Source organism: Homo sapiens, chromosome 7, assembly GCF_000001405.40.
Source record: "Homo sapiens chromosome 7, GRCh38.p14 Primary Assembly".
Lineage (NCBI taxonomy): Eukaryota > Metazoa > Chordata > Mammalia > Primates > Hominidae > Homo > Homo sapiens.
The window spans coordinates 125105130-125118300 of record NC_000007.14 but is presented as its reverse complement, the minus strand read 5'-3'; the positions used below and the strand labels follow the sequence as shown (position 1 = coordinate 125118300).

The following is a 13171-nucleotide window of genomic DNA, read 5'->3' as shown; positions in this document are numbered from 1 at the left end:
TGTTCCTTTAATGAAATTAAGACTTTGTGTAGAAAGCTTTTGGAAAACTGTTTTATTGGGCTGTTTGTTGAAATACATATTTATTGAATACAAAAATGTTCTGTGTGTTCAAACATATTCACCTTTGGGTGTATTGAATGCAATAAATACTTATAGTGAAAGAAAAAATTTCTCTCTCTAGGCTATCATTGCCATTAGGTCATTAGATCTTCCAGACAATTTTCTATCATAGATTCGCTACTAGTTATTAAGGAACTAAAATTTAGAATGTGAAAATTAAGGTCAAATAAATAATAATGAAGGATTAATGAGAGCATCTTATGTATAGGTTTTCTGATATGGTCTTAATTATACATGTGTGTATGACTATATACAATATTTCTCTTGCTGAGGTGTTTTAAAAATAGAACTTTAAAATTTAAACTTTTAAAATATATTATTCTCCTTTGGAAGATTGCAGGAAATTAATTTTTGTTATTACATATTTTCCTTTCCCATATGAGAAGTTTTCCTTTAAGAAATTACCATATGAACAAATAAATATTCTTTTTTTTTCTTTTTGAGATTGAGTCTTGCTCTGTTGCCCAGGCTGGAGTGCAATGGTGCAATCTTAGCTCACGGCAACCTCTGCCCCCTGGGTTCAGGCAAGTGTCCTGCCTCAGCCTCCCGAGTAGCTGGGATTACAGGCATGAGCCACCATGCTGGGCTAATTTTTGTATTTTTATTTTTTTTTTAGTAGAAATAGGGCTTTGCCATGCTGGTCAGGCTGGTCTCAAACTCCTGACCTCAGGTAATCCACCTGCCTCAGCCTCCCAAAGTGCTGGGATAACAGGCAAGAGCCACCATGCCCAGTCATACATATTCTTAAAGGAGTCAATGTGATAGACATTGAACATCTATACTACCATAACAAAAAGACAAACAAAGATTTTGTCTCCTGAAAGAACACAATTAAAAGCTATGAAGTAGTTTTGCCAAACAAATTCAACATAACTGGAATCCAACCTCTAGATCCAATTTCTAACACAAAGGACAGGGAAGCATGTTAAACTATCTCATGGGAATGCAATAGACCCAAGAATCTGGGAAAGCCCAAAGGTCAAAATCAACTGGATTTATTCAATAAATAAAGTATAATAAAAAATTAAAAGTGGGGGTAATCTATACATTAAAATAAACTCTAAAGACTTAGCCATCCCTCCTAAAATAATAGAAACTATTTCCTGATTAAATATATACACTTGGGTTTCTCCCTCCCCGTCTCTGTCTTACCTTCCTCTCCCTTTTTCTCTTCTCACTGCTTCAATTAGTTTATCTTTTTCATTTCCAAGTGGAGGGGTAATGGCCAGCCAAGATATAAGGATCACAGCAGTGGTGCATTCTGTGTTATCAATTCTACATTAACACTATCTTCCCTTCTGAGGACTCTGTAACACAGAAGAAAAACTAGGAAATACATTTCCAAGAATCTCCTTTGTTGTATAGTATGGGCGTTAACTTTGGAATGAGAAGCACTCAAAATTTGGAAGGTGGGAGAGAAAGAGCACAGATGAACATAGTAAGACTCACATCAGCACCCTGATTTGCCACTTAACTGCAGCAGACTGCAGCAATTGGTGGGAAATTCCTAGAGACTATCCCTAATTCTGGAAGAGCTGCAGTTCCACAGTGGAAAAAGACAGTGCTGGTTTCTCCAACCTTAACTCCTCAGCTCTTCCAATAAGTGTAAACTCCTAGCTCTCCATATTAAAACCCCATAACAACAGGAATACCTAGAATGGATTCTGTTTTCTGAATAACTTTAATAACATAACACCCTAGGACTCTGTGATCAGAGAAAAAAGACATTCTTATCTACTTGTTCTACTTTTAAAATCCTGAACAAGAATTCTGGCCTAGTTTGAGCTAAATGCCCATCTTCATATAATCACTGTAATCAGAAAGATAGATTACTGTGATTATCTTAGCTTGTATAATTGCCCCACTCTGTGACTGGCACAGGGATTAGATAGAATGGTGTCAATTCTTAAGAGAAGCCATACTTAAATGCAATGTAAAGATTGTCCCTACAAGAGAAGTGGAGGTCTCAGAAAAAGAGAAGAGGTACTGGGTAAATCCACAAACGGGTTGCCACTATATACTTCATCATTGGAGCCCCTTCCCCTTCCATTTAGATATATGGTGTTCTGAAGACAGCTCAAAATAGATGTGATGGGGGTTTGTCTTATAGCTAAAGGTGGCCCTAGCCAAAGGAGAGTCAAAAGGAAACAATAGAAAATTCTAGACCAAATATGTGGAACTTGGCACCTAATAAGACAGGCAAGCCAAAGGCTTAAGTGAGAAGGTAAATTCAGAAATCCAGAAAAATATGATCATTCAATTTAAACTGACCATCTAACTGAAATATTACCCTCATTACAATTTACATTTTTATTCTGCCTTCTATTTATTCTTATACTGGTATAACTGTATCTTTATTTATTCATATGTCTTCCTACCAGAATTCACGTTGCATGAGGTCAGGGACATGGTCAGTTTCATTCACAAATCTGTCCTCAGTCCCAGGAAGAGTGCTTGACTCAAGCAGGTGCCCAATAAATAGTTAATAAATTATGGCATGATTGGTGTAAGTTGGGTTGGGGCAAGTTATTCTATGAAAAATTCACTGACACTCTGCTATTATGTGGTGTAACCTGCATCCCAGAAGTGGGGACTTTGCCTTCACTGGACAGTGGTTAAAGTTATTAAATATATAATCGTAAACAAGCAGGTACTGTCCTCAAGGAGCTGTCAGCCTAGTGCAACTGGACACAAAGGCAGATAATATACTACAGTCACATAAGTCCTACAAAAGTGGTGTAGAATTGCCTTGGAAGCATTAGAGTAGCCAGTGTCTGGCAGGAGGGAAAGGAGACCTCATTTAATGAAGAAGAGACAGCAGAAACTAAGAAGTTATGAAGGACAGCCTCAGTCCACTAATTTTTGTCCACGGTCCAACAAACTTTGATTTCTAAATGATAGTAAAAGTCTTAACCCAAAGAAAATGCTCCCCAGTTAGTTACATTATTTGTTTATCTTTAACTCAAAGGTTATCATAGTATAGTAAGTAAATCAATAGCTGCATTTCTGAAATGTTATTTTTATTATTTTTTCCCTCTTTATAATGCCCCTTTCCTAATAGAGAAAAAATAAATAATTTTCTTTAATGATTCATTAATGAGGTAGGGGCCGAGCACAGTGGCTCATGCCTGTAATCCCAGCACTTTGGGAGGTGGAGGTGGGAGGTGGAGGCAGGAGGATCACTTGAGCCCAAGAGACCAGCCCAGGAAACAAAGTGAGACCCTGACTCTACAAAAATTAAAAAAATTAGCTGGGTGTGGTGGTGCATGCCTGAAGTCCCAGCTATTCAGGAGGCTGACTTCAGAGGATGGCTTAAGCCCAGGAGGCAGAGGTTGCAGTGAGCTGAGGTAGCAACACTGCACTCCAGCCTGTGTGACAGATTGAGATCCCGTCTCAAAAATAAATAAATAAATAAATATATATATATACACACACACACACATGTGTATATAAATATATATACACACACATATGTGTATATAAATATATATACACACATATATGTGTATATAAATATATATACACACATATATGTGTATATATAATAAATATAATGTGTATATGTATAATAAATATATATGTGTATATATAATAAATATATATAATGAGGTAGGGGCTCATTGGGAATGACTGAAGAGCATTTCTACATGCTTTACATTTATATAGTGATGGCATTTCCACATAGAAGCTCAGGAAAATGTTAATTCAGCACCAAAATTAGCTGAGAAAAATTAGAGAGATCAATTCCCTGAGAGTTTACCGGGTGATGTATACTTACAGGCTTTTTAATTATTTTAGGAATTGATAGCTAGTTCTGGGCCTTGTGACTTTTCCTCTAGATGTGAATGCAAAACTCAAGAATAAACATTTTAAAAGTACAAACCTTAAACACTCATCAGACTTTTGTTGTTGTATTTATTTTGTTTGGTCCATTTGATCTTCAAAAAGATTTGAGTGACTATAAATCAAGTTATTCGGCATCCTGTACCCACAATCTTTCTTTCTTTCTCTCTCTCCCTCCTCTCTTCTTTTCTGCCTCTTCCCTCTCATTTTTTTTTTTTTTTTTTTTTTTTGAGATGGAGCTTCGCTCTTGTTGCCCAGGCTGGAGTGCAATGGCACTATCTTGGCTCACCGCAACCTCCGCCTCCTGGGTTCAAGCAATTCTCCTGCCTCAGCCTCCCGAGTAGCTGGGATTACAGGCATGTGCCACCACGCCTGACTGATTTTGTGTTTTTAATAGAGAAAGGGTTTCTCCATGTTGGTCAGGCTGGTCTCGAACTCCTGACCTCAGGTGATCCGCCCACCTCAGCTTCCCAAAGTGCTGGGATTACAGGCGTGAGCCACTGCCCCCAGCCCTACCTCTTCCCTCTCTTTTCTCTCTTTTCCCCTCTTTATTCTGTTCTTTCTTTTCTCCCATCTTCTCTATCAGTCTGTAATTCTTCCTATATCCTTAGCTTTTAAATACTTAGTTGAATTTCTAGTTGTAAAAATAATTAATTTACTAATAGACATTAGATAGTGAAACCTGACCAAGCAGATATAGATATGTCATTTTGCCAACTCTACCAACATCCAAAGTAATTTTCTGATTCTTGAGTCATCTCATTGAGATGATTTTCAATCTTTAAGCACTGATTTATCTGTAATCATTTTAGATTACTCCTTATTACACTTCATTTCTCTTGAATACTTTTATCCTGCTTTTTAAAATTTCACAACCCTGTCTTCTACCTTTAATAACACTGAATGCAGATTATCCACAACTTAACTTTTTTATACTCTTAAACACATACACTTAACTTGTTATTATGATCATTTAATCATTTAAAATTACAGTGAACTGGGTGCCACTTAAAGAATGTAGCCATTCCCCATTCCACAACCCTATATTGATGGTTTCATGACATACATTTAAATATTGGAATAAGTAAATTGTGGGTATAAATATAAGGAAAGGAAGAAAAGGATACAACCACACAGAGTATATCATATTCACTTGTGATCTTTGGAGGTATTATGACTCAGACTTACATAAGCTTAATGAAACTAATTTGGGAGTGGTTTGAAGGGACATTACTTTTTGGGCAATAAACGTACAGTTATGTACCACATAGCAATGTTTCAATCAATGACAGACCATATATACAACTGTGGTCCTATAAGATTAAAATGGAGCTGAAAAGTTCCTATCTCCTAGTGATGCAGTAGCTGTCGCAATGTCATAGCACAACACATTACTCACATGTTTGTGGGGATGCTTGTGTAAACAAACCTACTGCACTACTAGTTGTATAAAAGCATAGCACATATAATTATGTACAGTACATAATACTAGGTGTATTAGTCTGTTCTAATGCTTCTAATAAAAACATATCCAAAACTGGATAATTTATAAAGAAAAGAGATTTAATTGACTCACAGTTCCTCATGGCTGGGGGAGGCCTCAGGAAACTTACAATCATGGCAGAAGGCGCCTCTTCACAGGGTGGCAGGAGAAAGAATCAGAGAATAACAGCCAAGCCAAGGGGGAAGCCCCTTATAAAACCATCAGATCTTCTAAGAACTCACTCACTATCACGAGAACAGAATGGGGGAAACTGACCCATGATTCAATTATCTCCACCTGGTCCCACCCTTGACATGTGGTGATTATTACAATTCAAGATGAGATTTTGGGTGGGTCACAGCCAAGCCATATCATTTGATGATACTAAATGACTATGTTACTGGTTTATGTATTTACTATACTACACATCTCATCATTATTTTAGAGTAGACACCTTCTACTTATTTTTTTAAGTTAATCTTAAAACAGTCTCAGGCAGGTCATTCAGGGATATTCCAGAAGAAGGCATTGTTAGCATAGGAGATGACAGCTCCATGCATGTTATTGCCCCTGAAGACCTTCCAGTGAGACAAGATAAGGAGGTGAAAGACAGTGATACTGATGATTCTGACCCGGTGTAGGCCTAGGCTACTGTGTTTGTTTCACAGACAGAGTCTCCCTCTGTTGCCTAGGATAGAATGCAGTCTGTCATAATCATAGCTCATTACAGGCTCAAATTCTTGAGCTCAAGTGATACTCCCACTGCCTCAGCCTTTCAAGTAGCTGGGTGAGGTTTCTTATTATAATAAAGATGGAGTCTTGCTATGTTGTCCAGACTGAACTCCTGACCTCAAGCAATCCTCCCGCCTCAGCCTTTGGAGTAGCTGGGACTACAGGCACATGCCACTGTGCCAGCTATTGTGTCTTGGTTTTTTTAAACAGTTTAAAAAGTAAAAAAAAAAATAAATTTAAAAAATAAAAATGCTTATAGAGTAAGATTATAAAAAAAATTTTGTACAACTGTACAATATGTTTTGTGTTTTAAGCTGTGTTATAACCACAGAGTAAAAACGTTGAAAAAGTTAAAAGTTTATAAAGTAAAAAGTTACAGTAGGCTAAAGTTAATTTATTATTGAGGAAGGGAAAAAATTATGAATTTAGCATAGCCTAGGTGTACATTATTTAAAATGTCTATAGTAGTAAACAGTCATGTTCTATGCCTTCACATTCACTTACCATCCACTCACTGACACACCCAGAACAACTTCCAGTCCTGGTAAGTCCCCTACACAAGTCTACTTTTTTTTAATCTTTTACACTATATTTTTACTGTACCTTTTTTATGCTTAGATATGTTTAGATATGCAAATACTCATCACTGTATTATAATTGCCTACAGTATTCAGTACAGTAACATGCTGTACAGGTTTGTATCCAGGAGCAGTAGGCTATGCCATATAGCCTATGTAGGTAGTAGGCTATACCATTTAGATTTGTGCAAGTACAGTCAATGGTTTCCAAACAATGACAAAATCACCTGATAACACATTTCTCAGAAACTAGCTCCTTTGTTAGGCAACCTATGATTGTACTCTTTATAGTGCTGTAAGTGTCTGCTGGTGGAATCAAATAAATACAAAATTGATAAAAAGTGCCAGGGAGAAGAATGAGCACCAGTAATATAAGAACTAGGCTAGGTAATCTTTGAATCACTCTAGCTCTGAGCTCTAGCAATTCTATGTTCAATATTTCCCGAGAACAGAAGGCTGGTTTCCTACAAAGATGTTCTTAACAAAACACAGTCACCATGCCCCTGAAATTTTACACCACTATTTGTCAGTTTTGCTGGGAAAATAGAGAAAAGGCTGGAAATAAAATAATAATACCATCACCTAGTGTGCAAAAAAAGGGATAATGGCTGGAGTATATTTCATGTACAGGCATACCTCATTTTATTGCACTTCACTTTATTACACTTGGCAGATATTGCACTTTTTAAACGTTGAAGGTTTGTGGCTACCCTGCATCAAGCAAGTCTATCAGCTCCACTTTTCCAGCAGCACGTACTCACTTCATGTCTCTGTGTCACATTTTGGTAAATCTCAAATTATTTCAATTTTTTTTATTGTTATTATATCTGTCATGGTGATCTGTGATCAGTGATCTTTTAGGTTACTATTATAATTGTTTTAGGGTACCAGGAACCATACCCATATACAGTGGCAAATTTAATTGATAAATGTTGTGTGTGTTATGACTGCTTCACCTACTGGCTATTACCCCATGTAGATCCGTATCCATGGGCCTCCCTATTCCCTGAGACACAACAATATTGAAATAAGGAAAATTAATAATCATACAATGGCCTCCAAGTGTTCAAGTGAAAAAAAGAGTGGCATGTCTCTCATTTTTATATCAAAAGCTTAGTGATAAATAATCAAACTAAGTGATTAATGCTTGTTGAAAGCTGAGACAGGCTAAAAGATAAGCCTGTTGTGCCGAACATTTAGCCAAGTTATGAATGCAAAGGAAAAGTTTTTGAAGGAAATTGAAAGTGCTACTCCACTGAATGCATGAATGATAAGAAATTTGATATAGTTTGACTGTGTCCCCATGCAAATCTCATCTTAAATTGTAGCTTCCATAATCCCCGCATGTCATGGGAGGGACCTAGTGGGAGGTAATTGAATCATGGGATCAGGTTTTCCCATGCTATTCTTATGATAATGAATAAGTCTCATGAGATCTGATGGTTTTATTAAGGGCAGTTCCCCTGTACATGCTCTCTTGCCTGCCACCATGTAAGACGTGCCTTTGCTCCTCCATCGCCTTCCACCATGATTGTGAGGCCTCCCCAGCCGTGTGCAGCTGTGAGTCCATTAAACCTTTTTTTTCTTTATAAATTACCCAGTTTCAGGTATTTCTTCATAATAGTATGAAAATTGACTAATACAGTAAATTGGTACTGGTAGAGTGGGGTGCTGCTATAAGGATACCGGAAAATATGGAAGCATCCTTAGAACTGGGTAACAGGCAGAGGTTGAAACAGTTTGAAGGACTCAGAAGAAAACAAGAAAATGTGGGGAAATTTGGAACTTCCTAGAGACTTGGAGGGCTCAGAAGACAGGAAGACATGGGAAAGTTTGGAACTTCCTAGAGTTCTGAATGGCTTTGACCAATATGTTAATAGTGATATGGACAATAAAGTACAGGCCGAGGTGGCCTGAGATGGAGATGAGGAACTTGTTGGGAACTAGAGCAAAGGTGACTCTTCTTATGCTTTAGCAAAGAGACTGGCATTTTGCCACTGCCCTAGAGATCTGTGGAACTTTGAACTTGAGAGAGATGATTTAGGGTATGACGCAGAAGAAATTTGTAAGCAGCAAAGCATTCAAGATGTGACTTGGGTGCTCTTAAAAGCATTCAGTTTTACTCATTTACAAAGACATGGTTTGAAATGGAACTTACATTTAAAGGGAAGCAGAGCATAAGAGTTTGGAAAATTTACAGCTTGATGATGAGATAGAAAAAAAACATTTTCTGAGAAGAAATTGAAGCCTGCTGCAGAAATCTGCATAAGTAAGAAAGAGTCAAATGTTAATCACCAAAACAATGGGGAAAATGTCTCCAGGGCATATTAGAGACCTTCCTGGAAGCCCCTACTATCATGGAACCAGAGGCCTTGGAGAGAAAAATGGTTTTGTGGGCCCATCCCAGGGTCCCACTGCTCTGTGCAGCCCAGGGACTTGTGGCCCTGTGTACCGCTGCTCCAGCCGGTGGTTAAAAGGGACCAAGATACAACTCAAGCCATAGCTTTAGAGGGTGCAAGACCCAAGACTTGGCAACTTCCACATGGTGTTGAGCCTGCAGGTATGCAGAAGTCAAGAATTGAGGTTTGGGAACCTCTGCCTAGATTTCAGAGAATGTATGGAAACACCTGGATGTCCAGACAGAGATGTGCTGCAGGGGTGGAGCCCTCATAGAGAACCTCTGTTAGGACAGTGTGGAAAGGAAATGTAGGGTACGGGCCCTCACACAGAGTCCTCACTAGGGCACTGCCTAGTAGAGCTGTGAGAAGAGGGCCACCATCCTCCAGACCCCAGAATGGTAGATCAAACAACAGCTTGCACCATGCACATAGAAAAGCCAGAGGCACTCAATGCCAGCCCATGAAAGCAACGAGGAGGGGGGCTATATGCTGCAAAGCCACAGGGTTGGAGCTGCCCACCACTGTGGGCATGGGAACTTACCTCTTGCATAAGTGTGACATGTATGTGAGACATGGAGTCAAAGAGATAATTTTGGAGCTTTAAGTTTGACTGCCCTGCTGGCTTTTAGACTTGCATGGGACTTGTAGCCCCTTTGCTTTGGCCAATTTCTCCCATCTGGAATAAGCATATTTACCCAATGCCTATACCTCCATTGTATCTGGGAAGTAACTAAATTGCTTTTGATTTTGCAGGCTCGTAGGCAGAAGGGACTTGCCTTGTCTCAGATGAGACTTTGGATTGTGGACTTTTGAGTTACTGCTAAAATGAGTTAAGACTTTGGTGGACTGTTGGGAAGGCATGATTTGTTTGAAATGTGAGGACATGAGATTTGGGAGAGGCAGAGGTGGAATGATATGGTTTGGCTGTGTCCCTACCCAAATCTCATCTTGAACTGTAGCTCCCATAATCATCACATGTCATAGGAGAGACCCAGTGGAAGGTAATTGAATGATGGGGATTGATTTTCCCATGCTGTTCTCATGATAGTGAATAAGTCTCACAAGATCTGATGGTTTTATAAAGGGCAGTTCCCCTGCATATGTTTTATTTCCTGCTGCCATTTAAGATGTGCCTTTGCTCCTCCTTTGTCTTCTGCCATGATTGTGAGGCCTCCCTAGCCATGTGGAACTGTGAGTCCATTACACCACTTTTTCTTTATAAATTACCTGTCTTGGGTATTTCTTCATAGTAGTATGACAATGGACTAACACAAAAGTAATACAGTATTACTGCTGGTATGGGGACAGTTTTAGTGGTCTGGATAGAAAATAAAATTAGCCACAACATTTTGTTAAGCCAAAGCCTAATCCAGACCCAGACCCTAACTTTCATCAATTCTATGATGTCTAACAGAGATGAGGAAGCTGCAAAAGAAATGTCTGAAACTACCATACCTTGATTTGTGAAGTTTAGAAAAAGAAGCTGTCTCTATAACATAGAAGTGCAAAGTGAAGCAGTAAGTGCTAATGTAGAATATAAATCACAACTTATCCACAAGATGTAGCTAAGACAATTGATGAAGGTGGCTACACATAACAGCAGATTTTTCAATACAGACAAAACAATCTTCTCTTAAAATAAGATGCCATCTAGGACTTTGATAGCTAGAGAAGAGAACTCAATGCCTGGCTTCAAAGCTTCAAAGGACATGATGCCCCTCTTGTTAGGGACCAATGCAAATGGTGACTTTAAGTTGAAGCCAATGCTAATTTATCATTCTGAAAATCCTAGGGTCCTTCAGAATTATACTAAATCAACTCTGCCTGTGCTCTGTAAATGGAACAACAAAGCCATGGCTTACTGAATTTTTTAAGCCCTGTTGAGACCTACTGCTCAGAAAGAAAAATTTATTTCAAGATACTACTGCTCATTGACAATGTGTCTAGTCAAACAAGAGCTCTGATGGAGATGTACAAGGAAGTTAATGTTGTTTTCATGCCTGCTAATTTGACATCCATTCTGCAGCCCATGGATCAAAGGATATTTTCAACTTTCAAGTCTTATTTAACAAATACATTTTGTAAGGCTATAGCTACCATAAACAGTGCTTCCTATGATGGGTCTGAGCAAAGTAAATTTAAAATCTTCTAGAAAGTATCCACCATTCTAGCTGCCATTAAGAACATTTGTGATTCATTGGAGAAGGTCAAAATATTAACATTAACAGGCATCTGGAAAAAGTTGGTCCCAAATCCTATAAAAGATTTTGAGGAGTTTAAGATTTTGGTGGAAGAAGTAACTACAGATGTTGTAGAAATGGCAAGAAAACTGAAGTTAAAAGCAGAGCCTGAAGATGTGACTTAATTGCTGTAATCTCAGGATAAAACTTTAACAAATTAGGAGTTGCTTCTTATAGATGGGCAAAGAGTTTTTTTTTTTAATTTTATATGTGCACAATGTGCAGGTTTGTAGCATATGTATACATGTGCCATGTTGGTGTGCTGCACCCATTAACTCGTCATTTACATTAGGTATATCTCCTAATGCTATCCCTCCCCCCTCGCCCCACCCCACAACAGGCCCCGGTGTGTCATGTTCCCCTTCCTGTGTCCAAGTGTTCTCATTGTTCAATTCCCACCTATGAGTGAGAATATGCGGTGTTTGGTTTTTTGTCTTTGCAATAGTTTGCTGAGAATGATGGTTTCCAGCTTCATCCATGTCCCTACAAAGGACATGGACTTATCCTTTTTTATGGCTGCATAGTATTCCATGGTGTATATGTGCCACATTTTCTTAATCCAGTCTATCATTGTTGGACATTTGGGTTGGTTCCAAGTCTTTGCTATAGTGAATAGTGCCGCAATAAACATACGAAAGTGGTTTATTAAGATGGAAACTACTCCTGGTGAAGACGCTATGAACATTGTTGAAATTTCAATTAAAGTTTTAGAATATTACATAAACTTAGTTACTAAATACAGACAGGGTTGAAAGGTTTGACTCCTATTTTGAAACTTCTACTGTGGGGGTAAAATGTTAACAAACAATATCACGCATTGCAGAGAAACCATTCATTAAAATAACAGTTAATTGATGCAGCAAACTTCACTGTTGTCTTATTTTAAGAAATTGCCACAGCCACCCAAACCTTCAGTAACCATCACCTGATCAGTCAGCAGCCATCAGCATTCAGGCAAGACCTTCCACCAGCAAAAACATTAGGACTCACTAAAGGCTCAGATGCTTGTTAGCATTTTTGGCAATGGAGCATTTTTAAATTAAAGTATGTACATTTTGTCTTTAGACATAATGCTATTACACACTTAACAGACTGCAGTATTATGTAAACATAACTTTTATATGTCAAGGAAACTAAAAAATGTCATGTCTCATCTGATGGAGATATTTCCTTAATGCAGTGGTCTGGAACCAAACCTACAATATTTCTGCAGAATGTCTGTGTATCCTTAAAAGACCTTTTTGTAATTGCATGTCCTTTGCCTATTCTAGAATTAGCAGAAAAAAATCCCAAGAAATAGCTACATGTGTTATAGACCTGAAGAGCTTCAAAATCCCTGATTTATCCAATGTTAAAAGGTTGATTTGACTAAAATATTTAATTGGTTGACTTTGCATTATATTAGATCTAGATGTGGCCAAATATGTTGCTATGCAAAAAACGAGGCTGTGAGAATCAATACAACTGTTATTCATCGCCAAGACAGGATACTATGGCTGTAGGTACAGAGTTAGTGATGCTCATGAATGAGGAGAAAGAGGAAAGGGCTTCAGTGACCGGTACTCATGCAGAATTCTGTTTGCACAGTATAGATACTGATTGTGGCCACTTACACTCATCCCCTGGCCTTGTCATTTTACCTGCTTTTAGCATTCATGTTTCCTTAGTCCTTTCTAAGTTTTTTCAGTTACCTCCTATTTCTAATTCTTTCACCCCAGGTTAACTTTTTCTTGCTCACCTGTTCACAGCTGTGGCATCTCATAGGCAACACTATGG

The 13171-nt window shown here is 38.2% G+C and overlaps 1 long non-coding RNA gene across 2 annotated transcripts in view; it reads right to left on the bottom strand.

The window, feature by feature from the left end:
• POT1-AS1 (POT1 antisense RNA 1) overlaps window positions 1-13171 on the bottom strand; it is a 215362-nt gene that overhangs the window by 26934 nt on the left and 175257 nt on the right. The window contains exon 5 of one of the 2 annotated variants that reach the window (NR_125718.1): window positions 1273-1427. The exons of the other annotated variant lie outside the window; for it this stretch is intronic. This is a non-coding gene — a long non-coding RNA (POT1 antisense RNA 1). The remainder of the gene's footprint in view (window positions 1-1272; window positions 1428-13171) is intronic. 2 annotated transcript variants of the gene reach the window in all.